We start from the raw sequence: 27,689 nt of genomic DNA, 5'->3' as shown, positions 1-27,689 counted from the left end.
CTAGGGGACGTGGCTAACTCCACATTTCCCAGGCCTTATCTAGGATCTAATGCTCCAAGGTAGGTAAATTGAGCAGTTTTTAATAGTCAAAGAAGTAGTTTATGATCTGAAAGCATTTAGGAAACTTAATATCTGTCCTACATAATTTAGACCAAATGTTTACATTTTGAAGATATTTTTATTTTACCAATATCTTTAAAACTGTCTTTATTTGCCAAAGATGACTTAAGTCACATGAACTAAATAAAAGGCATTACACTTTTTACTTTTCTGACAATGTATTTAATTTAAGCTCTTATTATTATTAAATCAATTAATTTAAGCTCTTTCATATATAAACATCACACACACAACACATATAAATACACAGAGAGACAGAAGATAAAGGACCCATTCCCTAAGCCAGGAATTGGACCCTAAACCTGGGCTGCCATTGTGAAAAGAGAAAGCACGGCCACGTGGTTACAAGGTCAAGCTCCCAAGGACATGACTGACCAGTTTGCTGGGCCGTCTTGAAAAGTGGGCTTACAGGTGTCCTAAGCTCATGTTCTATCCTAATGTGTCCCTCATTATGACAGACAATACAGAAGGACACACAAAGCACACTAGATTCACTGCAGCTTAAGACTAGCCTCATGAATCCTTTTTCCCATTAATCAAAACTTTACAGGAGATAACTAGTGATTTTTACCGTTTATTCAACCGGTTTGCACAGAGAGAGAGAGAGAGAGAGACCGAGAGAGACAGAGAGGCCAGAAGTCTGACTAGTAAGAAATTCTTACACTTTTGCTGACATGCCAGGCTTCTGGGTTCCCTTTTCCTCAGCGGCCCTAGTAACCTGGCTGGCTGCACCACAGCCCTGGGGGCCAAGTCGCAACACAGAGGAAAGTTATCTTTTTCCTTTCTGGCCAGAGCAAAATACGTGTGACGAAACATAGACATTAGCTCCTCTGCTTAGCACCCAATATCAAACTGGCAAGGTTCAAACTTGCCCCCTGTTGGGCCCTGTCATCATTAATCTAACCTCCCACCAGGAGTTTCAACTTGTGATCTCTGGGCAAGATAGTTGCCCTGAGTAATAGAAAAGATAAGAAAGGGAATGGAGAGAGATAAAAGCATTGCCTGTGGCATGCTGAGGAAGGTGAAGAGCTCAGGGAGGCCAGAGAAAGACCCACCCATTGCAGTGACACATTCTCAGCAAACTATTGCAAGGACAAAACCAAACACTCACATGTTCTCACTCATAGGTGGGAATTGAACAATGAGAACACGTGGACACAGGAAGGGGAATATCACATACTGGGGCCTGTTGTGGGGTTGGGGGAGGGGGGAGGGATAGCATTAGGAGATATACCTAATGCAAATGACGAGTTAGTGGGTGCAGCACACCAACATGGCACATGTATACATATGTAACAAACCTGCACGTTGTGTACATGTACCCTAAAACTTAAAATATAATTAAAAAAAAAAAAGTTCAGGCGGCTGCTTGTCAGTCAAGAAGGGATCTTTTCCAGCAGTCCCATTAGCTCTCAAGTTTCCCCTTTTAGGGAGGAAAAAGCTCCCCATGTCCCACGATCCTGTACATGCCTAATCCTGTCACCCATAGCCATTAGCAAAGAGTACAAGGCAGATTAATTCAGAGAAAAGCAGTTAACATCCTGTGATGCCAAACTCATTCTTAGCCTAAAGGGACTTTACCAAGAGGGGCCTCTAACCCCTAAGTCTTAGAAGAGACTCTAACCCTCCTCAGTTTTGGGCCTCTAACCCAAAGTTGGTCCTTGCCTTTTATTAAGAGGTGCCTCCAGCCCACTCTGTCTTAGGAGAGATGCTAACTCCCCTAAGTTGGGCCTCTAACCCAATCCCATCCTTTACTCGGGTACCCAACCACTTACCCAAAGTCAGTTGATCAGTGCTGCAGTCTTTTTCCTTTTGATCAGTGATCGGGGTTGGGGGGTGATGGTTCTTCAGTATCATCTCTTCAGGGTTTGCCAGAAAGATGTTACCAGACCCCACCACTTACCCAAAGTTAGCCTTTGGTTTGGGAGTTTCTGCACTATAGTCCCTTCTATGGTTGCCAGAAAGATGTTACAGGAAAGAGGTCCTGATCCAGACCCCAGGAGAGGGTTCTGGTATCTTGCACAAGAAAGAATTCGGGGCGAGTCCATAGAGTAAAGTGAAAACAAGTTTATTAAGAATGATGAGGAATAAAAGAATGGCTACTCCACAGACAGAACAGCCCTGAGGGCTGCTGGTTGCCCATTTTTATGGTTATTTCTTGATGATATGCTGAACAAGGGGTACATCATTCCTGCCTCCCCTTTTTAGACCATATAGGGTAACTTCCTGATGTTGCCATGGCATTTGGTAAACTGTCATGGTGCTGGTGGCAGTGTAGCAGTGAGGACCAGAGGTTACTCTCATGGGCATCTTGGTTTTACTGGGTTTTGGCTAGCTTCCTTACTTCAGCCTGTTTTATCAGCAAGGTCTTTATGACCTGCATCTTGTGCTAACCTCCTATCTCATCCTGTGACTTAGAGTGTCTTAATGGTCTAGGAATGCAGCCCAGTAGGTCTAAGCCTCATTTTACCCACCTCCTATTCAAGATGGAGTTGCTTTGGTTCAAACACCTCTGACACTTACATTCAAACTTCAGATGTTTATCATTATGATTTAGAAAATGTGAGTTCTTATGTAACTTTCCACAGTTCCTAGAAAACAGATAAACCTTTGTATTTAAATTCTGGAAATAATTTAGTACTTTATGTTAGTTTCATTAACTGAGAACCTGTGGAAAGGATTTCATCAGGTCTTGGACATAGAAGCACTAAAAACCATCTTCTCTTCTGATTGATCATCATAGGAGAGTATACAGAGGATAGTGGAAATTTGAGTTTACTGCCTGAAAGTCTGCCTTAATAAATAGCTTTTGATATGCTCAAGATTGAAGACTTAAGGAAACAGATTTTGATTTCAACCAGAAATCTAAACAAAAACCCCTTCTGTTTTTTTTTTTTTTAGTATTTTCCTACTGAATATCGAGTTTTGTCTTTAGCTGAGCGCTACTATATATGTTTCACAACTGTTGTTTTAGTTTATGTTTATTTCTTTCTTAAGGAGATTATTATAGCAGTCATTCAGTAGGAATTGTTTTTAAGTCTTGCTCCTGAAATGCACTATCATTTAAATGTAAATTAAACTTATTGTGTAAGTAAAATAAACTGAGATGTCAGTTTGTTTTTTAGAATGCAGTGCCATAATACACAAAAGAATATTCTTTACATTCACACAGTTATGTTTTTATAGTCAAACAAATGCTTTTGCTAATATGTATATATTTTTATACTATCCACATAGAGCTTTAAAAAATACATAGCCCTTAATAAGTTTGGATAATTTCTCCAAATTTAGAAAAATACTGTTAGCTTAAGGAGGTGGGAGAGTGGTGTGAAGTGGTAACTCTCAAAGTACCATTTTAGTACTTTAGTGTATATATAATATATATTGGAGTTGAATGCCAAGAAATAATGTTTCTGTTAAACTCAGAGAAAGACTGGAAAGGCTACCATATTAAGTAGTAAATAGGTTGGTAGAAACAGCATGTAACTTGTGAAATTTTATCAGTTTTCTCTTTCATGCCAGTACTGAATTATTATAATGTTAAATGGAGAATTTATAATTCAGCAGACATTATAATGAAAGATTCTGTTTTCTTGCCTAATTTTGGTCTTTGTGTTTTCTTTGATATATATCTTGAAAACCTCTTTAAGAATTAATAAATTGTCAATGTGTTTAAAAAGAGAATAGCAACAATTAGGTAATCTTATAAGCTTGTTTTCTTATTGATGGATAGGATCACACTTATAAAAACAACTAAGAGTACAATTTTATTCTCTGGACCTAAATTAGTAATATGTTTTCTAAAATAATGGAAAATTACTGAAAAATATTACATTTAAAAAATGAGATTAAACAATGTAGGCTAGTGCCATCTTATAGGAGTTTTTCAATGGCTGTATTTACATATTTGAAACTAGGAACAACTTCATTATTTTAGCACCCAAATATTTGAACATAATGTGATTTTCTGTGTATAATTGATACCTTTATGTAATGTGAAATTCACACATCTTGTATTGGCCATCAGGAGATCTGGGTCTTAGTTCTGGCTCAGTCACGTCTGTATGACTTTAGAAAAGTGGTATTTGCAAGCCTCTGTTATAAAATGAGAATAAAATTATTTATTCTGTTGTGAAGAATAATGTGGGTAGATGCGATATTATTTTATATTCTTTAATGTGCTATGCAAATGTTAGGAGGATTGAAAGAAAATGTGTTGATTAGGCTATTCATTAAGAAGATTTTTAATTTATTATTGCTGTTATAATGGTTTAGTTTGCTGATTTTCTTTCTCCTCACTCTGTCTACTTATTATTACTGACATCAAGCTTATCTTTCTGTAGGAGAGATGAAGAAATGACCATTGGCCCAGAATTTGTTAGCAGACTCCTTTTACTTTCATCTCTGTCTAATATCCATTCCTATAAGTGGAATACTACGTATAGGATAGTATTACTAAGTAGATATTTTAGAATTGAAAACAAAACAGTTGCTGACATAATTTTCCATGTTTTTGTGGTTGAGAAAAACTATAAGCCTCTTTAAAAATATAGTATTTATATATGAACAGACCCACAGACCAACTGAACAGAATGCAAAGCGCAGAAATACATAGAAAGCCCAACTACACATGGAAATATATTTTATGTTAAGGTGCAATCATAAATCAGTGGGGGAAAAGGGACTTTTAGCAATTGATAGGTAATCACCCATAGGAATATAAAAATTGGCTCTTCATCACTGTGTACACCAGAATTAACTCCAAATGAATTAGAGATCTAAATGCAAAAAATGAAATAAAACCTACCAACCCAGTGGCGCTGATTATGGTCTTGAAATGCCAACCTAGTAACAAAACCTGGATTCTAATAAAGAACCTGAATTCTTTGGAGAAATACCTGATTCCTGACTGGGGCAAGAAATGAGTGCCATGAAATGGGGATATCTTGTCTTATTGGATAGCAAGGAAGATTCCAAAGACTACTTGCCTTTCTAAAAGTTGAAAAGTGAAAGACCAAAACAACAGAAACAGAACAAAACAAAAAACCCAAACCAAACCCCCCTTACAAATGCATCAGTGGGTATGATGCATGAACCAGTGGTTCATAGGGAAAGAAATGCAAATAGTCTTTAAACATATGAAAAGATGTTTAACCTCATTTAGTAGATGAGGCTATAGAGAAACAGGACTTTTCATATCTTGCTGGTGGGAGTGTAAAGTGGTAAATTCCTTTAAAGGAGAAATTGCCAATATCTTATGAACTTACAGTTGTATTTTCCCATTTGTATGAGAAAGGAAAGGAAATAAATACATATATTTGTTGTTTATTATTGTGGAAAAAACTGGAAAGGTAAAATTAATAACCACATTTATCTATGGGGAATGTGGAGGAATGGGATGAAGGGATAGCTTTGTGAATTTTCTAATACCTTTTTGTGTAATTTTGATATTTGGACCATATACAAATTTTGATGTGCTTAAAGAATACCCTAAAACTGAAAAGAAAATGAAACATATGAGCTTAAATATGCATCTAGTTGGTAATGTAACTGAGCAGAGAAAAAGAAAATACTTCAAATATTTGGAATAGAGTCAGTACATTGTCCTTCTTTTGCTGGATATATCCTCGGGATAAAAACAATGGCCAGTGAAATGTTAAAATTAACTAAGTGGTTTTACTGTTTTTTTTAATTTTATTTTTTAATACTTTAAGTTCTGGGATACATGTGCAGAACATGCAGGTTTGTTACATAGGTATACATCTGCCATGGTGGTTTGCTGCACTCATCAACCTGTCATCTACATTAGGTATTTCTCCTAATGCTGTCCCTCTCCTTACCCCCTCCTCCCCCCGACAGGCCCTGGTTTGTGATGTTCTCCTCCCTCTGTCCATACGTTCTCATTGTTCAACTCCCACTTATGAGTGAGAACATGCGGTGTTTGGTTTTCTGTTCCTGTGTTAGTTTGCTGAGAATGATGGTTTCCAGCTTTACCCGTGTCCCTGCAAAGGACACGAACTCATTCTTTTTTATTATGGCTGCATAGTATTCCATGGTGTATATGTGCCACATTTTCTTTATTCAGTCTAACATTGATGGGCAGTTGGGTTGGCTCCAGGTCCTTACTTTGCTGGATATATCCTCAGGATAAAAACAATGGCCAGTGAAATGTTAAAATTAACTTACTGGTTTTACTGTTACATTGATAGTGGTGCAATGATTTTGAAACAAGTTTATCAATATGGTATATTAAAGCAAATAAATATATAAATGTAATTATGAATCAAGATTTTCAGGATTAGAGAAAGGTATGAATATAAAATCAAAGCAGATAACAATATTTTGGGAATTTCACCATAAACTCATTATGTTTAAAAAATATATTTCCTAGATTTACTCACCAAAAGGGCTTGGAAGTACTGACTCCCTAGTAGCAATGCATACATATAGTGATGTATATGTATATGTATATGTATATGTATATGTATATGTATATGTATATGTATATGTATGTATAAGATCCTGGTTCCTAAATGCATTGCTTAGTAAAAAGCCAGGGCTCCTTGGAGAAAAGGCGGATTCCAAATTTGGAACTAAGAAAATAAAAGACGAGCCCTAGACAGCAGTTCCCAACCTTTTTGGCACCAGGGACTGGTTTCATGGAAGACAGTTTCTCCATGGACTGGGGGTGGGGGATGTTTTGGGATGAAACTGTTTCACCTTAGATCATCAAGCGTTAGTTAGATTCTCATAAGGAGTGTGCAACCTAGATCCCTTGCGTGTACAGTTCACAGTAGGGTTTATGTTCCTATGAGAATATTATGCTGCCACTGATCTGACAGGAGGTGGAGCTTAGGCAGTAATGCTCCCTCACCTGGTGCTCACCTCCTGCTGTGCAGCCCGGTTCCTAACAGGCCACCAATCAGCACTGGTCTGTGGCCTGGGGGTTTGGGACGCCTGGCCTACGTACAACATTGTGCCTTGTCAGAAATCAAACATTCAGTCTAATGGACGCATGTGAAAAGGACAGAAGAACCAACTAGAAAGTGCTTCTTTTGGGCAAAGTTGGTGCAATTTGAGGATAAAACAGAATAAGGGTTCTTACTGATAATAAAACATTTAATAAGCAAAGTCATGGTTTCATAATCTCTTTAAAAATATAGCCAATTTGCCATTTTTAGATTAAAGTTATCTGAAAATTGGTAACCAGAGGGAAAGAATTAAGCAGTTGGCCTCTTTATGAAGAACTGTGATTTATTTGCAGGTAAGGAAGGAATGTTCTTCCTTATCAAAGAATACAGTCTGATGAAGGTAATGAATATGATAGAATTAGAAAAATCAACCTTTTGCCCTGTGTGGTAGATATACCTCTAAACATGTTCCTCAAAAATTTCCATTTCCTGCTTACTCAATCAAACACGAGCCTAAGTACAGCTGTGAAGGGACTTGGAATATATAATTAAGGTTACCAGATAGCTGACCTTAAGATACGGATATTATCCTATGTCTTAGCCCATTTTGTTTTGCTATAACAGAATTCCAGAGACTAGGTAATTTATAAAGAAAAGTTGTTTATTCGGCTGATAATTCTGGAGGCTGGGAAGTGCAAGAAGCATAACACTGGCATCTGCTCAACTTCTGGTGAGGGCCTCATGCTGCATCATAAAGGGAGAGAGAAGCAGACATTCCAAAAGTGTAAAACACAAGAGACAACCTCACTTTGTAACAACCTGCTTGCTAGAGAACTAGCCCATTCCCACAAGAACTAATCCAGTCCTGAGAAATAACCCAGTCTTGAGACAAAGACATTAATCTACCTTAAGGACCTAATCACCTCTTAAAGGCACCACTTCCCAATACTATTTCATTGGCAATTAAATGTAAATGTGACTTTTGTCAGGGACAAATTACATCCAAACCATAGCACTCCATTTGTGTCTCCCCAAAACTCATGTCCTTCTTACATGCAAAATACATTCATTTTGGCCAGGCACAGCGGCTCATGCCTGTCATCCCAGCACTGTGGGAGGCCGAGATGGGCAGATCACTTGAAGTCAGGAGTTTGAGACCAGCCTGGCCAACATGGTGAAACCCCGTCTCTGCAAAAAATACAAAAATTAGCCAGGCATGGTGGCAGGTGTCTGTAATCCCAGCTACTCGGGAGGCTGAGGCAGGAGAATTGCTTGAACTAGGGTGGAGGAGGTTGCTGTGAGCTGAGATCACACCACTGTACTACAACCTTGGTGACAGAGCGAGACTCCATCTCAAAACAAACAAAATCACATATATATATATATTCATTTCATCACAAAGGTCCCCTAAATCTTAACTCATTCCAGCACCAATTCATAAGTCCAAATTCCAAAGTCTCATGTGAGACTCAAGGCACACTCCTTCTGGTTGTGAGCCTGTAAAATAAGAAACAAGTTATCTGCTTCCAAAATACAATGGCAGAACAGGCATGGGGTAAACTGTATTAGTATATTCTCACACTGTTATAAAGAAACACCCAAGATTGGGTAATTTGTAAAGGAAGGAGGTTTAATTGACTCACAGTTCCACATGTTTGGGGAGGCCTCAGGAAAGTTACAGTCATGGCAGAAGGGGAAGCAGGCATGTCTTACATGGTGGCAGGCAGAAGAGAAGAAGTGAGCAAGAGAGGAACTACCAAAACACTTCTAAAACCATCAGATTTCATGAGAACTCACTCACTATCATGAGAACAGCATGGAGGGAACCACCCCCATGATACAGTCACCTCCCATCAGTTCTCTACCTCAACACTTGGGGATTACAATTCAAGATGAGATTTGGGTAGGGACACAAAGCCTAACCTTTATCATAAATGTTCCTTCCAAAAGGGAGGAATGTGCAGAAAGAAAGGAGTAACCACCTCAAAGCAAGTCTGAAACCTACAGGACAGGTATTAAATCTTAAAACTCCAGAATCATCTCTCACTTTATGTGCTGCCTCCAGGACACAATTGTAGGATGATTGCAAGGTGAGGGATGGGCTCTCTTGGTTTTGGGAAGTCCTGCCCCTATGACTTTGCTGGGTGGAGCGCACGTGCTTGTCTCTCAGTTTGGGGTTGTGTGCTTGAGCCTGTGGCTTTCTCAGGCTGGCGTTTGATGTAGTTTGAATATATGTCCCCAACAAATCTCATGTTGTCTTGTAATCCCCAGTATTGGAGTTGGGGCCTGATGGGAAGCGATTGGATCATGGGGGTGGATTTCTCCTGAATGGTTTAGCACCATTCCCGTGGTGTCTATTTTGCAATAGTAAGCTGTCACAAGATCTGCTTGTTTAAACGTGTTTGGCACCCCTCCTCATCTGTCTCTGGCTCTGGCTCTTGCCATGTGAGACACCTGATTCCTCTTTGCCTTTTGCCATGATTGTAAGATTGCTGAGGCCTCCCCAGTAGTCGAGTAGATGACAGCACCATGTTTCCTTTAAAGCCTGAAGAACCATGAGCCAATTAAATCTCTTTTCTTTATAAACTTTAAGCAGTGCAAAAACAGCCTAACACAGAGTTACATGTTGATGGTCACTCTACAGTTCTGGGGTCTTGAAGGTGGCAGCTTTGTACCTGTCACTCCACTATGCATTCTTTTAGGGATTCTCTGTTGGGGCTCCATTCCTGCATTAGGATTCTGCCTGGGCTCCCAGGCAGTTTGCTGCATCCTTTAATATCTAGGAAGAAGCTAACATAATCCTCCAGCCTGCACACCTCTGCACATCTGCAGAGACAGCACCATGCTGACACCATCAGAGCTTATGGTTTGAGAGCAGCAGCACAAGTGGCATCTTGGTTCACTTGAGCCATGGCATTGTGCCACAAAGGTTTATGGCTTGTACTTTTTGGAGCAGCAAGTCAAGCCACACATGGGCTGATTGAGTAATGGCTGGAATGGGTGAGGAGAGCTGCACTGGAATTCAGGAAGCAGACATTTGGAGAGCAGACACTTAAAGGGTGGCCTAGAAGATCTCTGCAATGCTTTTAGTGCCTTTTAGTCATTGCTTTGATGGTTAGTACCTGACTTCTGTTTATCCATATTAATTCTTTTAGCAAATGGCCTGTGAGCTACACCCTTGGTTTCCTCTCCTGAACATGCTATTTCATTCTCTACTACTAATCCTTGCTGGGAATTTTCCAATTATTTTTGCTCTGCTTCCTTTCTCTAGCATCTCGCTGTAAGAAGTTACTTCTAACTGCTTTGCTGCCTAGACATTTCTTCAACCATATATGCTATTCCAGTGCCCTAAGTTTGGCCCTCTATTAAGTCCTAGGGCATGGCTACAGTATAGCCAGGTTGTTTGTTACTATATAACAAGCATGACCATTACTTCAGTTCTTAGTAAGATATTCTTTGTTTCCATTTGAGACCTCATCAAAATGGCCTTTATTGTCCATATGTCTATCAGCATTCTGGTTATGACCACTTAAGGTATTCCTTAGTTCTTTTCATCTTCTGAGCGCTCACCAGAATTGTCCTTAGTGCTCCATTCACAGCAATAGAGGTTTTTTTCTAGCTTACTCCTTCAGATTCTTCCAGCCACTACCCATTACTCAGTTCCAAAGCTGCTTCCATATTTTCAGGTATAGAAACACCTCACTACCCAGTACCAGTTTTCTATCTTAGTCTGTTTTGTGTTGCTATGACAGAATGCCTGAGACTGGATAATTGATGAAGAAAATAGATTTATTTGGCTCACAATTCTGGAGACTGGGAGGTTAAAGAAGCATGCAGCCATTGTCTGTTTGGCTTCTGTTGAGGGCCTTGTACTGCATCATAACATGGTGGAGGAGTGGAAAAGGAAACAGGTGTTCCAAAAGGGCAAAATATGAGAGGCAACCTCGTTTTATATCAAGCCATTCTCTTCAGAATTAATCAGTTCCTTCAAGAACTAATCAATTTGCTCAAAAACTAAGCCATTGTTGCAAGAAAGACATTAATCTAAACTTAAGGACCTAATCTCCTCTTAAAGGCTCCACCTCCCAATACTGTTACATTGGCAATTAAATTTCAACATGAGTTTTGATGGAGACAAATTACAACCAAACCATAGCATGCTGGATTATCCAGGTAGACCCAGCGCATCACTTAAGCTATTAAAAGCAGAAGAGGAAGGCAGAAGAGTCTGTTATGGAGTTGTAGCAGCAGAAGTGGAAGCCACAGAGATTCCACACATGAGAAGGATTCATTGCACTGTTGCTGGCACTGAGATATAGGGGCCCATGCCCAAGGATCAGAAAGAGGCCTCTGGAAGCTAAGGTTGTCCCCCAGATGACTCTGCAAGGAAATGTGGATCTCAGTCCTACAACTACAATAAACAGGATTTTGCCAACAACCTGAATGATCTTGGACGCAGACCCCAGAACTTCCTGATTTGAGCCCAGCTGACTGATACTTTGATTTTAGCCTTCTGAAACCTGTAGCAGAGAAACCAGTGGAATCAACCCAGACTTCTGATCTATAAATTGTGAGAAGCTAAATTGTGTTGCTTGTTACAACAGTAATAGACAACCAATTGATATGGTTTAGCTGTGTCCCCACCCAAATCTCGAGTTGTGTAGCTCCCGTTATTCCCATGTGTCATCAGAGGGACCCGGTGAGAGGTAAATGAATCATGAGGGCAAGTTTTTCTTGTGCTGTTCTCAAGATAGTGAGGATCTGATGGTTTTATAAAGAGGAGTTTCCCTGCACAAACTCTCTCTCTCTTGTCTGCTGCCACGTAAGACACCCCTTGCTCTTCCGCCATGATTGTGAGGCCTCCCCCGCCATGTGGAACTGTGAGTCAATTAAACCTCTTTCCTTTATAAAGTATCCAGTCTTGGGTATGTCTTTAAGAGTGAAAACAGATTAATACGCCATTATACAGCTCTTCACTGAAATAATTGATTCAGATTAGGATCACTAATGGACACTAATTCCTTTAGGTGAAAGGATATGAAGGAATAGAATATTTGCACAGTACCAAAATATCACCTCAAGGTTTATTGGAATTGTGTAGGGAAGAATATACCTTACAACAGAGATTTAGCTGTTACAACTTTACCTAAGTGAACAAAGTTAGGATCACTGATAATACAGCAGCCTGACATTGTGTGTTTTCTGATGTGATGCAACTTGAAGCACATAGCATTAACTGTGAATCTTCTTTTATAAGTTGAATCTGACTGTATTCAGACCTTTAGGTACATTTTCCAATTTTAATGAAATACAGGGGATAGATGAAAAGTTAAATAACATCACAAGGACACAATTAGACAAATCTAGAACACAGGACATACGAAAAGATAATTGGCCTGGTCTCTTCAAAACATAAATGTCATTAAAAATGTTAAGATGAATGTGTTGGAAATCAGGGAGACTGTTACACATGAAAATGATTAAGGAGATATGAAGACCAAATGCAGGCCAGATGCAGTGGCTCACACCTGTAATCTAGGCACCTTGGGAGGCTGAGGCGGGTGAATCACTTGAGGTCAGGAGTTTGAGACCAGCTTGGCCAGCATGGCAAAACCCCATCCCTACTAAAAATACAAAAATTAGCTGGACATGGTGGCATGCTCCCATAATCCTAGCTACTCGGAATGATGAGGTGGGAAAATCGCTTGATTCTGGGAGGCGGATATTGCTTCACTGCACTGCAGCCTGGGTGACAGACCAAGACTCTATCTCAAACAAAACAAAATAAAACAAAACACTCCCTCCCCCCGCCACCCAAATGCAGTGTGTGAACCTTGCTGTGATTTTGGTTTAAAAACTAATAAAAATACCTATACTTTTAGGGGCAATTGGGAAAGAATTAAGTTTCTTAAGGGAGATAACGGTATTATGGTTATGTAGAGAAATGTTCTTATTCTTAGGAGATACATGTAAACTATTTAGGGAGAAAGTCATGATGCCTGAAAGTTATTTCTAAATGCTTCTTTAAAAACAGAGAAAAAAACCCCACAGAAATAGAAAGAAGCATTTTTGGCAAAAATGTTAACAGTTGTTCATTCAAAGTGGTTGGTGTAAAGGTGGTTTTTGTACTATTTTTCAACGTTTTTATATGTTTGAACATTTTCAAAATTAAATATTAAGAGAAAAGGAGAATAAAGTTTTAGGAAGCTTGAAGGAGGTTCTTGTATGTGAGTGAGGATAGTTTACTGGCAGGCTTCATTTTAGTGTTCTTGGGTAATTCTGTTTTATTTTGGTCCCTTTCAATACTAGACTTTGGAATACTTTTTTTCTGGGGTAACAACATCCATTCTAGCACTTGAATTGTCTCTAAATAGTTTATTCCATTTTTAAAAGAGGTATGTCAGTTAATATTTTGCCTGGAGCATACATACCAGGGCTGCTGGCTGTATTGCATTTGGGATCATGGAGGGAATGAAACAGGTGGATGAGTGTTGTGAGAGACAGTCCTCCATGATTTTCTCATGCTCCCACATGTCTTACTGGATTTGCCAAGAATGAAAGGCCCTGACTGCTTTTTACCTGGGCCATTTCTCAGGGTTGTGTTTGTAGAGAGCAATCTTGAGAGATGAGATAATGTCTATCTGGGACAAAGAACAGGCTTGCTTACAGCTTGCAATAAAATAAGAGGCTCTTGTGAGTGGAAAAACCTCAAACTGTTTTTTCTTTGCTTTTACAACACAACAACAATCGACACAGAAGACTTCTTTGACCACATGTGTGGGTGTTTCTTTCTATACACCAAGCAAGCAATCAGTTTTGCAAATGGACACCAGCTGGGGGGTCCTCTAATTCAATTCACTTCTGATGCTATCTACCTGGAGATAGCCTCTGAAACCACAGATTGAGGGCTCAGTCCCACAAGATCACCCCTTCCTTCCCACTAGTCTCAAGTCCAGGCTCTGGGACATCTGACCAACCCCAAGTTTCAGGTCCCATGAACCCCCTCGTTGGGTTTAATTTGCTAGAGTGGCTCACGGAATTCAGGGAAACATGTTTGCCTGTTTATTACAAAGGATATTTTAAAGGATAAAAATAAACAGCCAGATTAAGAAATAGAAGTGTCCTAGCTTCCTAACCACTGGAGCTTCTGTCCCTGTGTACCGCCCTACTGGCTGGGGGTACATTAATGAATTCTTGTTCCCCTTCCTGTCAGCGTCTGTGTGTTTAACTATTCAGAAGCTCTCCAGACCCAGTCCTTCCTTATTTAACTATTCAGAAGTTCTCCAGACCCAGTCCTTCCTTTTGGGGTTTTATGGAAGCCTTATTACCTAGGCTTGACTGATTAAACCATTGTCCATTGATGATCAACTTATCCTTCAGCCCCTCTCTCCTCCTTGGAGGTGAGGGTGGGGAATGAAAGTCCTAACCTTCTAATCATGCCTTTGTCTTTCTGGTGACTGGCCCCCATTACCTAAGGGCTTCCTGCCAGCAGTCATCTCATTAGCATACAAAAAGACATCAGGTAGGAATTTCTGAGGATTTTAGGAGTTGTATACCATGGTTGAAGACCAAATATATAGTTCACAATATCACAGCTCCCAAGCTTGGCATTCTTCAACTTCGACCTCTACCACTACACACCATCTAGCTAGACTCTTATCTTATTACCCCCAAGGATGTTGGGTTTCAAGGAACCAGTGCAAATAAGCTGATGCTGTGCTGTGGTGAATAAAGTCCTTTGACCCAGGAGTCTTATGTCTACTGCCAGCATCCTTGAAACAGTAACAGGCTAACTGATTAGCTTGTAAGTAGAGTAAAAATCTCAAACCCTTCGGTGATGATTGAGACTTCAGTAGATAGATCTTCAGGAATCCTCTTTTGTCTGACTTTTCACTTCTGCTCTTCACTAGACCTGCATTTTCAGAGTCTGAAGCTGCTAGGGTTTGGCTGGGCTATTGATAACAACATGTGGCAGACAAATCCTAGGCAGATGGGGCGGGTCCAACCTTCAAGCCAAAGACAGTTTAAACCCAACCTTCAAGCCAAAGACAGTTTAAAGCCTGAAAGCCAAGCTACAGGTCAAATCCAGGGACCAGATTGAGAACTTGTCTTCCCATTTGGCGTACTTTACTCTGATTGATCCCCACCCTTCACCTATTTTACATATACCTACTCTTCCCTAATTGGTTCTTTACACTGTTGTGCCCACCTTTGAGTGGTACTTTTGTTTTAACCTTTTTTGCATACTCACAAACCAAACCAATCAGCACACATTCCCCCATTCTGAGCCCGAAAAGCCCTGGACTCAGCCACACTGGGAGAAAAATCATCCTCATGTCCTTTCTCCACTGAGAACTGTTTCTTCACCCAATGAAATTCTTCTTTGCCCTCATCGCCCTTCAATTGTCAGCATGCCCTCCTTCTTCTTGGACACAGGACAAGAACTCAAGACCCACCGAATGTGGGTACACCAAAGGATATAACAGTTGTGGCCCACTGCCCTATGCCAGCAGAGGGCAGCCACCCCATACGACGGGAAGCAGCAGGGCCAAGCCAGCCCTGGAGCTGCAGGGTAGAGTGAGGCTAGGGGCTGACAGGGCTGTTAATTTACTGCTGTTCATCAGGCTGCAGACGGTAGGACTGAAAAAGCTAATTAGCATGCTGTAACATCCTCTCTGGAGCTTTAGCATTGTGGTCACCCCTGCCTGGACACCACTGCATTCCCCTTATCTGGACACCAGAGTCCACTGCAGGACTAGCTTGCAACACACCTGGTCTAGCTGCAGGCCCCACATGGAGCCCGCTTCTTTGCTGGCCCTTGCCTGGAATAGCCAGCTGGACCTTGCACTTGCTCACTCACATGGCCAAGGTCCGCTGCAGGATCCATGCCAGAGTGCAGGCTGGGTGTGGCCCTGTGGTCTGATCGGACAGAGCATCTTCTGTGGTGTACCTGGGCCCAAGCAAGGCCTCGGCAGGGGCGTCACTGGCCAGAGGTCTCTGGCTGGCAAAGTGACTGAGAAAAATCCCATATCATTATTAACCTGCTTTCCTTGTTTAAATGGACAGTACTAACATTCATTCAGTTATTTAAAGCAGAAACTTCATATTCTTTTCACTATTTATATTTAACTGGTGAACAGGTCTTTTCATTTTACATTCTTAGCATCACATTTTTCTCCATCTTCACTGCTATTGGTTTCGCTTAGGTCTTTAGTCTCTTAACTAGATTACTGTAATTCCTTACTGTTATTGGACTGGGTATCCCCATCTCTGACGCCATTCATATGTTGAAGCCTTAACCTCCAATGCTATTGTATTTTGAGGTAGAGCTTTTAGGAGCTAAAGGTTAAATGAAGTTAAAAGGGTCGGGTACTAATATGATAGGATTGGTGGCCTTACAAGAAGGAGAAGAGAGAGGTGTCTATATGTGTGCATACACTGAAGTAATGTCACATGAGGACATAGTGAGAAGGCAGCCATCCATTAGCCAGGAAGAGAGCCCTCCTCAGGAACCAAATTGGCTAGCACCTTGATCTTGGACTTCTGAGCATCCAGAACTGTGAGAAATAAATGTCTGTTATTTAAGCTACCCTGTGTACCTGGTATTTTGTTATGGCAGACCAAGATGACTTAAGAAACTTAATTCCAATGTAGTCCATCTATGCCTGCTTTGCTCCCACCATTTTTATCTTTCTGAACCTTAACACTGCTATCAGAAGTATGTTTTAAAGTTGCATCTTTGGTCAGGTTGGTATGTTTTTAGAGCCATTATGTGTTTCTCTGCAAAGTGAAATTCAAACTCCTGCCTTGTCATATCAGACCTTTCATGAGTTGGCCCTTTTATATTTCTCCAGCTTCATCTCTTGCCTCCCTCTTGTCCCAGTCCCTTTTCACCCTGTGCATGAGCTATATAAACCTACTTGCGTTTTTTAGTTTATCATGCTGTTTTATATCTCTGGGCCTCTACTCAGGCAGAGAGCATTTGGTGCCAAGGATGCTGCTTCACCACCTCCCTCCCATCTGCTTGCAGAATATTTATTCATCTTTCAAGCTTAGATCAACCTCTAAGAAAGCTTTCTCTTATCCACATAGGCTAGAATGACCTCTCTCTCCTTTGTGTCTTGTGTGCTTTTAAAATAATTCTTTTATTCTTTTGTAGCATGTATAACACATTATTTCCCTTAGTGTTTAATATATCGTTCTACCTTTACTAGGTGTGTGGTGGTGGGGTGGCGGGCTGGGGAGGGAGTTCATCATACTAAGGCTAGATGGATAGTTAGGGTTCTCCAGAGTAACAGAACCAGCAGGATGAATATGTATATATGTTTATATAAACACATATACACACATTCATAAAGACATGTATTTTAAGGAATTGGCTCATGTGATTATGGAGGCCAGCGAATCCAAAATCTGATGGGGGAGGCCAGCAGGCTGGAGACTCAGGAATGAGTTGCAGTTTGAGTCCAAAGGCAGTCTGCTGGCAGAATTCCCTCTTGCTTGGGTGAGGTCAGCCTTTATTTTGCTAAGGCCTTTAACTGATTAAATGAGGTTCACCCAATCTGCTTGACTCAAAAAAACACCAATTTAAATGTGACTCTCATCTAAAAACATCCTCACAGAAACATCCAAAATAGTGTTTGACCAAATATCTGTACAATGTGGCCCATCTAAATTGACATAAAATTAACCATCACATATAATGATCATACCTAGATGTGATTTAGTCTGAGTATGCCATAAGACCTCACAAGTCTTTCTCAGGCTCTACGTGAAGTCATTTCCTGTGGGGATTCAAGCTCACCAGTTAATGCCTACTGCTTTATTCCCACCAGAAACCCACCATTTCTTTCTATCTTGTCTTATAGCTTTCTACCCACAAACAAGGTTGATATGTATTTCAGCACACTATGGCACGACAGGCATGTAGAAGCTCTATTTTGTCCATCGTAACCAGGAACCTTTCTAAGCTTTTAGTCATTGAGGCTTACAGTTACACAGTGATCAGTCCTCTGGGAGTTGTATACTGCATAATTTGATAGCCCAGCCAGGAGCAGTTTCTGGAAATTCTTCCCAAATGATATCCTTTGTAGTAGATGTAACCTGAAAAATAAAAAAATAATACTGGTACGTTACTGGAGTTCCATTCAGTCATCAGCAGTTGGTTTTATTCATCATTGTAGTGAATGAACAAAATGTCTCCAAATTGATGCCACTCAGATTTGCAGGTTACTATTAGACCACATCAGGTTCCAAAGCAGAGGTGGTGTTGGCAAACATGACTTCACCCCTTCAGGCATCTGGTGTAATTATTTGAATACACAATATTGTTCTCTTTTTCTGAACCTTCATCAAGGCACCAGTGTAATGTTGGATTTCCCTCATTGAGTACCTGTTCATTCATTCATATACCTTCAGCTATTATTTCTTCTTCCCATTTATCATTGATTTTAAGTCAAACCATTCTATCCTTGGAAGGGATATTGGGCTCATCTATGGTGCTGATAGTGATATGGGTCTGCCAAGTGCTCCCCCTTCAGTACGTTCCCATTCATATAGGGTAAGATTACACAGATATAGAACTTGTGGGCTATCTTGGCCACTGGACATTATAGCTGCATACAATGGTTGACTGCAATTTTGTCAGATTGGGTGAAAGCAGAATTCATCCTATCAGGCCCTTAGATATTCTGGCATAAAGATTTAAAGGTATAATCAGTTTCTTGGTTAAGGATTATCTCTGCTTCCAGCACTCACAGTTCAAGTCCTAGTTCTGGAATTACTTTATTGGGTAGGAAATGAGTGTTGAGGTGATGTGGGGAAGAATTGTATGGTCATACTTGTATCCTCCTTAACGTCATCATCCTCAAATCCCTCACAAAAGCAGAAGAATCCTAACTCATGGGGCATGACCTTCCCATGGTCTGATTTGTGTTGACTGAGTGTACACTTGTGAAGGCCTACAAGCCAGTGCTTCTTGCCTTTATTTTCTCCTACTTTTGATAACAAGTATTTCAATTGCCCACTGCAGTTCTCTGATTTCTACTTTCAATTTCCTGTTCCATCCTATTTTGAGGATAAGCAAATTGATGTGTCAACTTCATGAGTTCTCTCTTTGCCCATATTTGGACAGTATGTACAAATATAACAGGTATAACTGAACAAATGTAACTCAACTTTCCAAATTAGTATAGTATTATTTGCTCCAAACCTTTTATTGTGTTTTGAGTATTGGTGTCTATTACCAGGTATGCAAAGCCCAGTCCAGAGTAAATGTCTTTTCCTGTCACACCCATGACAGCCTCCTAGGGCTACAGGCAGTGGTCCAACGTAGTTTGTTTTCCAGCTATGTGCAGAGCCTTTACCCTAGGGAATCTGTCTCATCATTGTATGCAGTCTTTCTGACTGGTAGATTGGACTGTTCATGTTGCCATTTTGTGCCTCAGAGAATACAAGAGGAATATGCTGATTATCAGCCACCATCTGTGTCCATACACTTTATGAACCCAAGTGGCTAACTGGAGTGAGCACCCTAAGGTATTCACTTGTTGGTTTCAATCATCCTTTGATTCTGGAAGATAATAATAATAATTGTTATTATTATTTGGGACAGAGTCTTGCTGTTGCTCAAGCTGGAGTGCAGTGGCACGATCTTGGCTCACTGCAACCTCCGCCTGTTGGTTTTAATCATCCTTTGATTCTGGAAGATAATTATTGTTATTATTATTTGCGACAGAGTTTTGCTGTTGTCCAGGCTGGAGTACAGTGGCACGATCTTGGCTCACCGTAACCTCCGCCTCCCAAGTTCAAGCGATTCTCCTGCCTCAGCCTCCCTAGTAGCTGGGACTACAGGTGCATGCCACTACTCTCAACTAATGTTTTTGTATTTTTAGTAGAGATGGGGTTTTCCCATGCTGGCCAGGCTGGTCCTGAACTGACCTCGGGTGATCCACCTGTCTCAGCCTCCGAAGGTACTGAGATTACAGGCATGAGCCACTGCGCCTGGCCTGGAAGAGAATTATTTTGATGTGTATCAACATGTCCTACTTTAATGAGTTCCTTAAGTTTCTGTAGAACCATACCTTATACTCATGGGTAGCACTCATGGACTGCAAACTCCAGTCTCCATTTCTTCATTACTTCAGTAGTCCAGTTTCTTATTGTCCATCTGTTTGACCGTATAACCAAGCTGTTCACTCCCACCTCTGAGTCAGAATACACACAAACTTCAGAGCTCTTGCTGTTGTCTATGTCTTCTGTTACTGCACGGATAACAGCATGCAGTTGAGCTCAGTGAACTGATTTATTCTTACCTTCTTTGATCAGAGTTTTTTTTCCATCAGTTAGTCACAGTATGGCAGCTTTCCAAACAGGATGCTGTCCATCACCTTGGAACTGCCATCTGTAAATAAAGTGGCTTTTTGTTTGCCAACTAGGGCCTGGTAGAAGGGCACACATATGTGGCAGTAGGATCTAGTAATTCTCCAGATGCCTCCAGAATCAGTCATAAGTTAAGGGAGGCTATCTGCTTGTGAATATGATGAGTATTTCCTTGCTTTTCTCTTTTCCTGTATAAACCATTTCCATTTTATTATGAAAATTCTCAGTACTGCCTTCCTTGTTAGAATGAATGTTTCTCTGAGATAACCCAAAATGTTATATGTATTGCAGCTTTCAAGATTTTTTTTTTAGTCGTGGAGGCAGTTTGAATTAGTGACCAATAACAAGCCAGTGTTTTATCTTATTTTATTTATTTATTACACTGTAAGTTCTGGGATACATGTACAGAACATGCAGGTTTATTACATAGGGATACACGTGCCATGGTGGTTTGCTGCACCCATCAACTCATCATCAGTGTTTTTCAAACAGGATGCACTATGTTGCTACATCTGGAAATTTCCTTGTCTAAAATCCCAGCAGTCAATGCTGGATGGCAATCATGGGCTTTTTCCTTAAGTTTTAGTCCGTAGACACTTCCAAAATCTTATCTAAATGTGGATCATAAGAGCCCAAAGGTATTGATTGTATTACTCTGGCTTTTTGTAGTTCAGACATAGCCTGTTGTGGTTCAGGCCTCTATTTAAATATGACCTTCTTTCACATAGCTTTATGGATAGGAGTTAGCAATATTATCAGATCTACAATATGTACCCTCTCTAATCACAACCATCCAACCAAGTGTTATGTTTCTTGTTTAGTTTCTAGAGTAGGAAGGCACAACCATTTATCCTTAGTAGCCTGTTTGGTAGCATCAGTGACTCCTACCCAGGCAATCACCTAGACTTACCATTTGGGCAGGCCCTTGGATCTTTGCTTGGTTTACCAACCACCACTGTTAGTCATGTATGTCACCATTGTTTTTTTATTATTATTATACTTTAAGTTCTGGCATACATGTGCAGAACGTGCAGGTTTGTTACATAGGTATACATGTGCCATGGTGGTTTGCTGCACGCATCAACCTGTCATCTGCATTAGTTATTTCTCCTAATGCTGTCCCTCCCCAGCCCCCTACCCACCAACAGGCCCCAGTGTGTGATGTTACCCCCCCCGCCCCGTGTCCATGTGTTTTCATTGTTCAACTCCCAAACTCCCACTTATGAGTGAGAACATGTGGTGTTTGGTTTTCTGTTCCTGTGTTAGTTTGTTGAGAATGATGGTTTCCAGCTTCATCCATGTCCCTGCAAAGGACATGAACTCATCCTTTTTTATGGCTACATAGCATTACGTGGTGTACATGTGCCGCATTTCTTTATCCTGTCTATCATTGATGGACATTTGAGTTGGTTCCAAGTCTTTGCTATTGTGAACAGTGCTGCAATAAACATACGCTGAAGGTATGTGAATGAATGAACAGGTACTCAGTGAGGGAAATCCAACATTACACTGGTGCCTTGATGAAGGTTCAGAAAAAGAGAACAATACTGTGTATTCAAATAATTACACCAGATGCCTGGAGGGGTGAAGTCATGTCCTTTATAGTAGAATGATTTATAATCCTTTTGGGTATATACCCAGTAATGGGATTGCTGGGTCAAATGGTATTTCTGGTTCTAGATCCTTGAGGAATTGCCACACTGTCTTCCACAATGGTTGAACTAGTTTACACTCCCACCAAAAGTGTAAAAGCATTCCTGTTTCTCCACATCCTCTCCAGGATCTGTTGTTTCTTGACTTTTTAATGATTGCCATTCTAACTGGTGTGAGATGGTATCTCATTTGATTTGCATTTCTCTAGTGACCAGTGATGATGAGCTTTTTTCCATATGTTTGTTGGCTGCATGAATGTCTTCTTTTGAGAAATGTCTGTTCATATCCTTTGCCCACTTTTTGATGGGGTTGTTTTTTTTCTTGTAAGTTTAAGTTCTTTGTAGATTCTGGATATTAGCTCTTTGTCAGATGGATAGATTGCAAAAATTTTTTCCCATTCTATAGGTTGCAGTTTCTATTGCTGTGCAGAAACTCTTTAGTTTAATTAGATCCCATTTGTCAATTTTGGCTTTTGTTGCCATTGCTTTTGGTGTTTTAGTCATGAAGTCTTTGCCCATGCCTATGTCCTGAATGGTATTGCCTAGGTTTTCTTCTAGGGTTTTTATGGTTTTAGGTCTTACATTTAAATCTTTAATCCATCATGAGTTAATTTTTGTATAAGGTTTAAGGAAGGGGTCCATTTTCAGTTTTCTGCATATGCTCGTCAGTTTTCCCAACACCATGTATTAAATATGGAATCATTTCCCCATTGCTTGTTTTTGTCAGGTTTGTCAAAGATCAGATGGTTGTAGATGTGTGATGTTATTTCTGAGATCTCTGTTCTGTTCCATTGGTGTAAATATCTGTTTTGGTACCAGTACCATGCTGTTTTGGTTACTGTAGCTTTGTAGTATAGTTTGAAGTCAGGTAGCGTGATGTCACCAGCTTTGTTCTTTTTGCTTAGGATTGTCTTGGCTATATGGGTTGTTTTTTCGTTCCATATGAAATTTAAAGTAGTTTTTTCTAATTCTGTGATGAATGTCAATTCATCACAGAATTAGAAAATGGGGATAGCACTGAATCTATATACTACTCCCATTCACAGTTGCTACAAAGAGAATAAAATACCTAGGAATACAACTTACAAGGGATGTGAAGGACCTCTTCAAGGAGAACTACAAACCGCTGCTCAAGGAAATGAGAGAGGACACAAACAGATGGAAAAACATTTCATGCTCATGGATAGAAAGAATCAATATCATGAAAATGGCCATACTGCCCAAAGTATGTTACCATTGTTTTTAAATCAGTCTTGGCTTGCTCTTCAGTTTTTGGTAGTATAATAACACAGTATATTATCATAGTGGAGACCTACACCAAGTCCAGATCTCTCCCAACCAAATTATGATAGTAAGCTAGTGAATTCAGATAATCCTTTGGCAACACAGCAAATGTAAGTTGTGATCCTTCCCAGATGAAGGGAAATAGTGGCTGACTTTTCTGATAAATATCAAGAAAAAGGCATTTGTAAGATCAGTCACTGAGTATTGGTCTTCTTTAGATTGTTATAGTCTTTGTACAGCTGATGTCTCATCAGGGGACTGCTGCTGCTATAGGCAGCACCACTTTATTGAGACTTCAGTCATTTACTGTTAGTTTCCATCTATATTGGTTCATTTTTACACCACTGATAAAGACATACCCGAGACTGGGAATGAAAATATGTTTAATTGGACTTACAGTTTCATATGGCTGGGCAGGCCTCAGAATCATGGTGGTAGGAGGAAGGCATTTTTTACATGGTGGCAGCAAGAGAACAATGAGGAAGAAGCAAAAGCGGAAACCTCTGATAAACCCATCAGATCTCGTGAGACTTATTCACTATCACAAGAATAGCATGGAAAAGAACGGCCTCCATGATTCAGTTACCTCCCCCTGGGTCCCTCCCACAGCATGTGGGAATTCTGGGACATACAGTTCAAGTTGAGATTTGGTTGGGGACACAGCCAAACCATATCACCATGAGTCATCCACTTCCAGGCTACACAGGACTAGTCCTGTAATAGTGGGACTACTGTACAGAGAATTTGTCATATCAGCACTACAGCTTCTAATATGTCACTGATTTAACCTACAGTCTCTTTTTATCCATCAGGTATTCTCTGTTGTTTCAGAGTAACAACCTTTATAGGCTGGAGTCTATTTAGCATATACTCTTTTAGCATATCTGGTTACTACTGGCTGAAGGGCAAACTTATGTGTTTCTTGTTTTACAGTACTAGGTATGGGAAGCATTCCCCATCAGATACCATATCCATTCCAGTAATAAATTCAGGTAAAGGATACTTCACATAACATCTGTTCATACATTCTAATTCTTATCCAAACTTTTATCTTAATTCCATCACCCATAACATTCCCATATCTTTCCAAACTGAGTTTTATAAAAATGTTTGGAAACACAGCACATTGGGCTCCTGTATTAAGGAATCTCAGAAATTTTCTTCCTACCTTTCTTTCAAACTGATGAAAGACAAACAACTACTATCTAAGCATACTGTATCCAGCCAAGCTATCCTTCAAATATGAAGGAACAGTAAAGTCTTTCTGGCACCTTACACATGCATATTGCTTTCAGTAGCCAGCCAAGATTAGACAAATTGACTCCGGCCATTCCATTCAATCTTTGTCCTGGTTCATCTGTCCTATCATTACCTCCAGTGAAGTGAGGACATACTCTTCAATATGATCTTGCCCTCTGGCTTCTCATATTCTTCCAAAGTGGGGTAAATAATTAGGTTTGTTTAAGGCCCTTCAGTGCTAGGGAACTGGCAGAAACTCTGATTGGTCTTCTACCGTTCAATAATGCTGCATTAAAATTTTATGTTCACCCCATCAAGTCCTTGATCCCTCTCATTTCTTAGTAACCACTTAAAAACTTCAACCCTACTTAGACAAGTCCTTTTGCCATCTTCTTGCCTCCCAACCCCCAATCCCTACCTGACTTGTGAATTATTTTAATTTTCTTAGCATCTGTAAAACCCATAAGGAGAAGCTGAGACAGCATATCTGATATGGCTTCTAGAACCATTTCTTGATTTTGTAATAGTAAGGTTATTTTAAGGAGGGAGGGCATATAAAAAGAGCTCCCTTAATTGCATTTCTCATCATCTGCATAAAGGGCTTGTTGTAAACATTTTGGGTATTATAAAGCCAATCCAGCATGGCTGGCTTACACCATGTAACATATTAGCTGCTTCATCTGGTCTATTCCACTTAGTATACAAAGGAGGGACAAGACAAAAAAACTTTATGATAGCCTTTAAGAAGTCTATGAGACTAAACACCCATCACGATGAGTTTACTGCATGTTTACATTATTTATATCCATTTGTGACTGTCATTGGTAAATTGTGGTTCCTAAATTAACCCAAACATGTTTCTCTATTCTACAGTATTCAAACCCAAAGATACAGCTCCTAAGTTAGCCACTTTCATAATACTTTAGTTAAGGAAGCCAATGATACCAATCCACAAAATGAGATACTTTCTTAACACTATACCCCCAGGTGTGTGTGTATGTGTGTGTATCTCCTTTTGCTGAATTGACCCTTTTACATTACATAGTGACTTTGTTTATCTCTTTTAACAGTCATTGATTTGTAGTCTATTTTATCTGATGTAAGTACAACTACTTCTGCTCTTTTTTGCTTTACAGTTGCATGGAATATCTTTTTCCACCCTTCACTTTCAGTCTGTGTGTCTTTATAGGTGACATGGGTTTGTTGTAGACAGTATATAATTGGGTCTTGTTTCTTACCCATTGAGCAACTGGGTGCTTTTTAATTAGAGAATTGTGTTCGTTACATTCAGTGCTGTTATTATTCACTTACTACTGCCATTTTGTTGCTTGTTTGCTGGTTGTTTTGCAAATCCTCTCTTGCTTTTTTCTTTACTTAGTGTCTTTCATTGTGATTAAGTGATTTTCCCTGGTAGTGTGTTTTAATTTGTTGCTTTTTATTTTAGTGAATATTATTGGTCTTTACATTGTGGTTATCATGAGGTTTACAAAAAAAATCTTATAGCAAATTATTTAGATCACAAAGAAAATAATAGAAATACACAAGGAAAATAAATAAACAATTCTTCATTTTAACTCCATAACCCCCAATTTTGACTTTTAATTGCCTCAATTTACATATTTTTATTTAACCTTTCTCAATAGTTTGCTGTAGCTATTACTGTTTTTGATAGATTTGACTTTTGGGCTTCATACTAGAATTATGAGTAGATTGTACACCACAATTACTGTATTAGAGTATTCTGGGTTTGTCCATGTATTTGATTTTAACTGTCGATTTTATACCTTCAAATGTTTTCTTTTTGCACATTAGTTGTTTTTTTTTTCTTTCAAATTGAAGAACTCTCTCTTGTGTTTCTTGTAAGATGAGTCTGGTGGTGGTGAATTCTTTCAGCTTTTGTTTGTCTACGAAAGACTTTATTGTTCCTTCCTATTTGAAGGATAGCTTTGCTGGGTACAGTATGCTTAGATGGTAGTTGTTTTTCTTTCATCAGTTTGAAAATGTCATCTCACTCCCTTCTGGCCTATATGGTTTCTGTTGAGAAGTCTGTTGCCAGACTTGGAGCTCTTTTACATGTTATTTACTTCTTTTCTGTTGCTGCTTTTAGGATCCTTTCCTTGTCCTCGACTTTTGACAGTTAGATTATTATATGCCTTGGGGTACTCCTATTTCGGTCAAGTCTGTTTGGTACTCTCTGGCCTTCATGTACCTGGATATTTATGTCTTTCTCATGTTTTGGAAAGTTTTCTGTTACTATTTCTTTGAGTAAACTTTCTACTCCTTGCTCTTGCCCAGCTCCCTCTTGAACACCAATAATCCTTAGATTTGGTCTTTTGAGTTAATTTTCTGTATCTCGTAGGTGGTCTTCATGCCTTTTCATTTTTCTTCCCTCCTGTGACTGTGTATTTTCAAATAGCCTGTCTTTGAGTTCTCTGATTCTTTCCTTTCATTGTTCCATTTTGCTGTTGATAGCCCCTAATGAGTTTTTCAGTTAAGCAAATGTATTTCTCCGTTCCAAGATTTTCATTTGATTTTATTATTATTATTTCAGTCTCATTAAATTTCTGTGATAAATTTCTGAATTGCTTTTTTGTGTTGTGTTGGATATCAATGAGCTGCCTTAACACTGCTACTTTGAATTCTTGGTCAGAAAGCTCATACATTACTATCTCATTAGGGTCAGACACTAGTTCCTTGATTTGTCTATTTGGGGAAAGTTATGGTTCCCTGTTTGCTGTTGTTTCTTGTGGATGCATGTCTTTGTCCTCACATTGAAGGATTAGTTAGTTATTCCAGTCTTCTCTGTTTGGCTTCTTTTGTTTTTTATTTGATATATTTGCTTAGAGATAGATTCTTTACTGCAAGGCTGCTGCCGTGTTTTTGGCTGTAGGTGGTACCTTAAGCCCATGTTTACCTCAGTTCCAGTAAATGATTGGAGTGCTGCTCATCCCAAATGGGGGAGGCCTCAAAGAGGATATCTCAGTGTGTTGGAAGGCTAGCTAATGGTTTGTGCCCAGGTGACCTGTGGAATGCACCTCCTACAGTGTGATACTGATGAACTACCACTCTTGATTCGGTGTCTCATTTGGTTAAGCCTATCATC

The 27,689-nt window shown here is 39.8% G+C and overlaps 1 protein-coding gene across 35 annotated transcripts in view, besides 1 other annotated feature; it reads left to right on the top strand.

Moving 5' to 3' along the window:
- Positions 1-27,689, top strand: part of ARB2A (ARB2 cotranscriptional regulator A) — a 493,975-nt gene that overhangs the window by 69,871 nt on the left and 396,415 nt on the right. The window lies entirely within an intron of this gene.
- Positions 15,822-16,322: an enhancer, noted in NCBI's record as "H3K4me1 hESC enhancer chr5:93361212-93361712 (GRCh37/hg19 assembly coordinates)". NCBI's record gives its function as "activates a minimal SCP1, AML or CMV promoter by ChIP-STARR-seq in naive H9 embryonic stem cells {active_cell/tissue: H9 hESC(naive)}" and the evidence as "EXISTENCE:reporter gene assay evidence [ECO:0000049][PMID:30033119]".

This window comes from Homo sapiens, chromosome 5 (assembly GCF_000001405.40).
Source record: "Homo sapiens chromosome 5, GRCh38.p14 Primary Assembly".
Lineage (NCBI taxonomy): Eukaryota > Metazoa > Chordata > Mammalia > Primates > Hominidae > Homo > Homo sapiens.
This window is presented reverse-complemented; position numbering and strand designations above follow the sequence as displayed.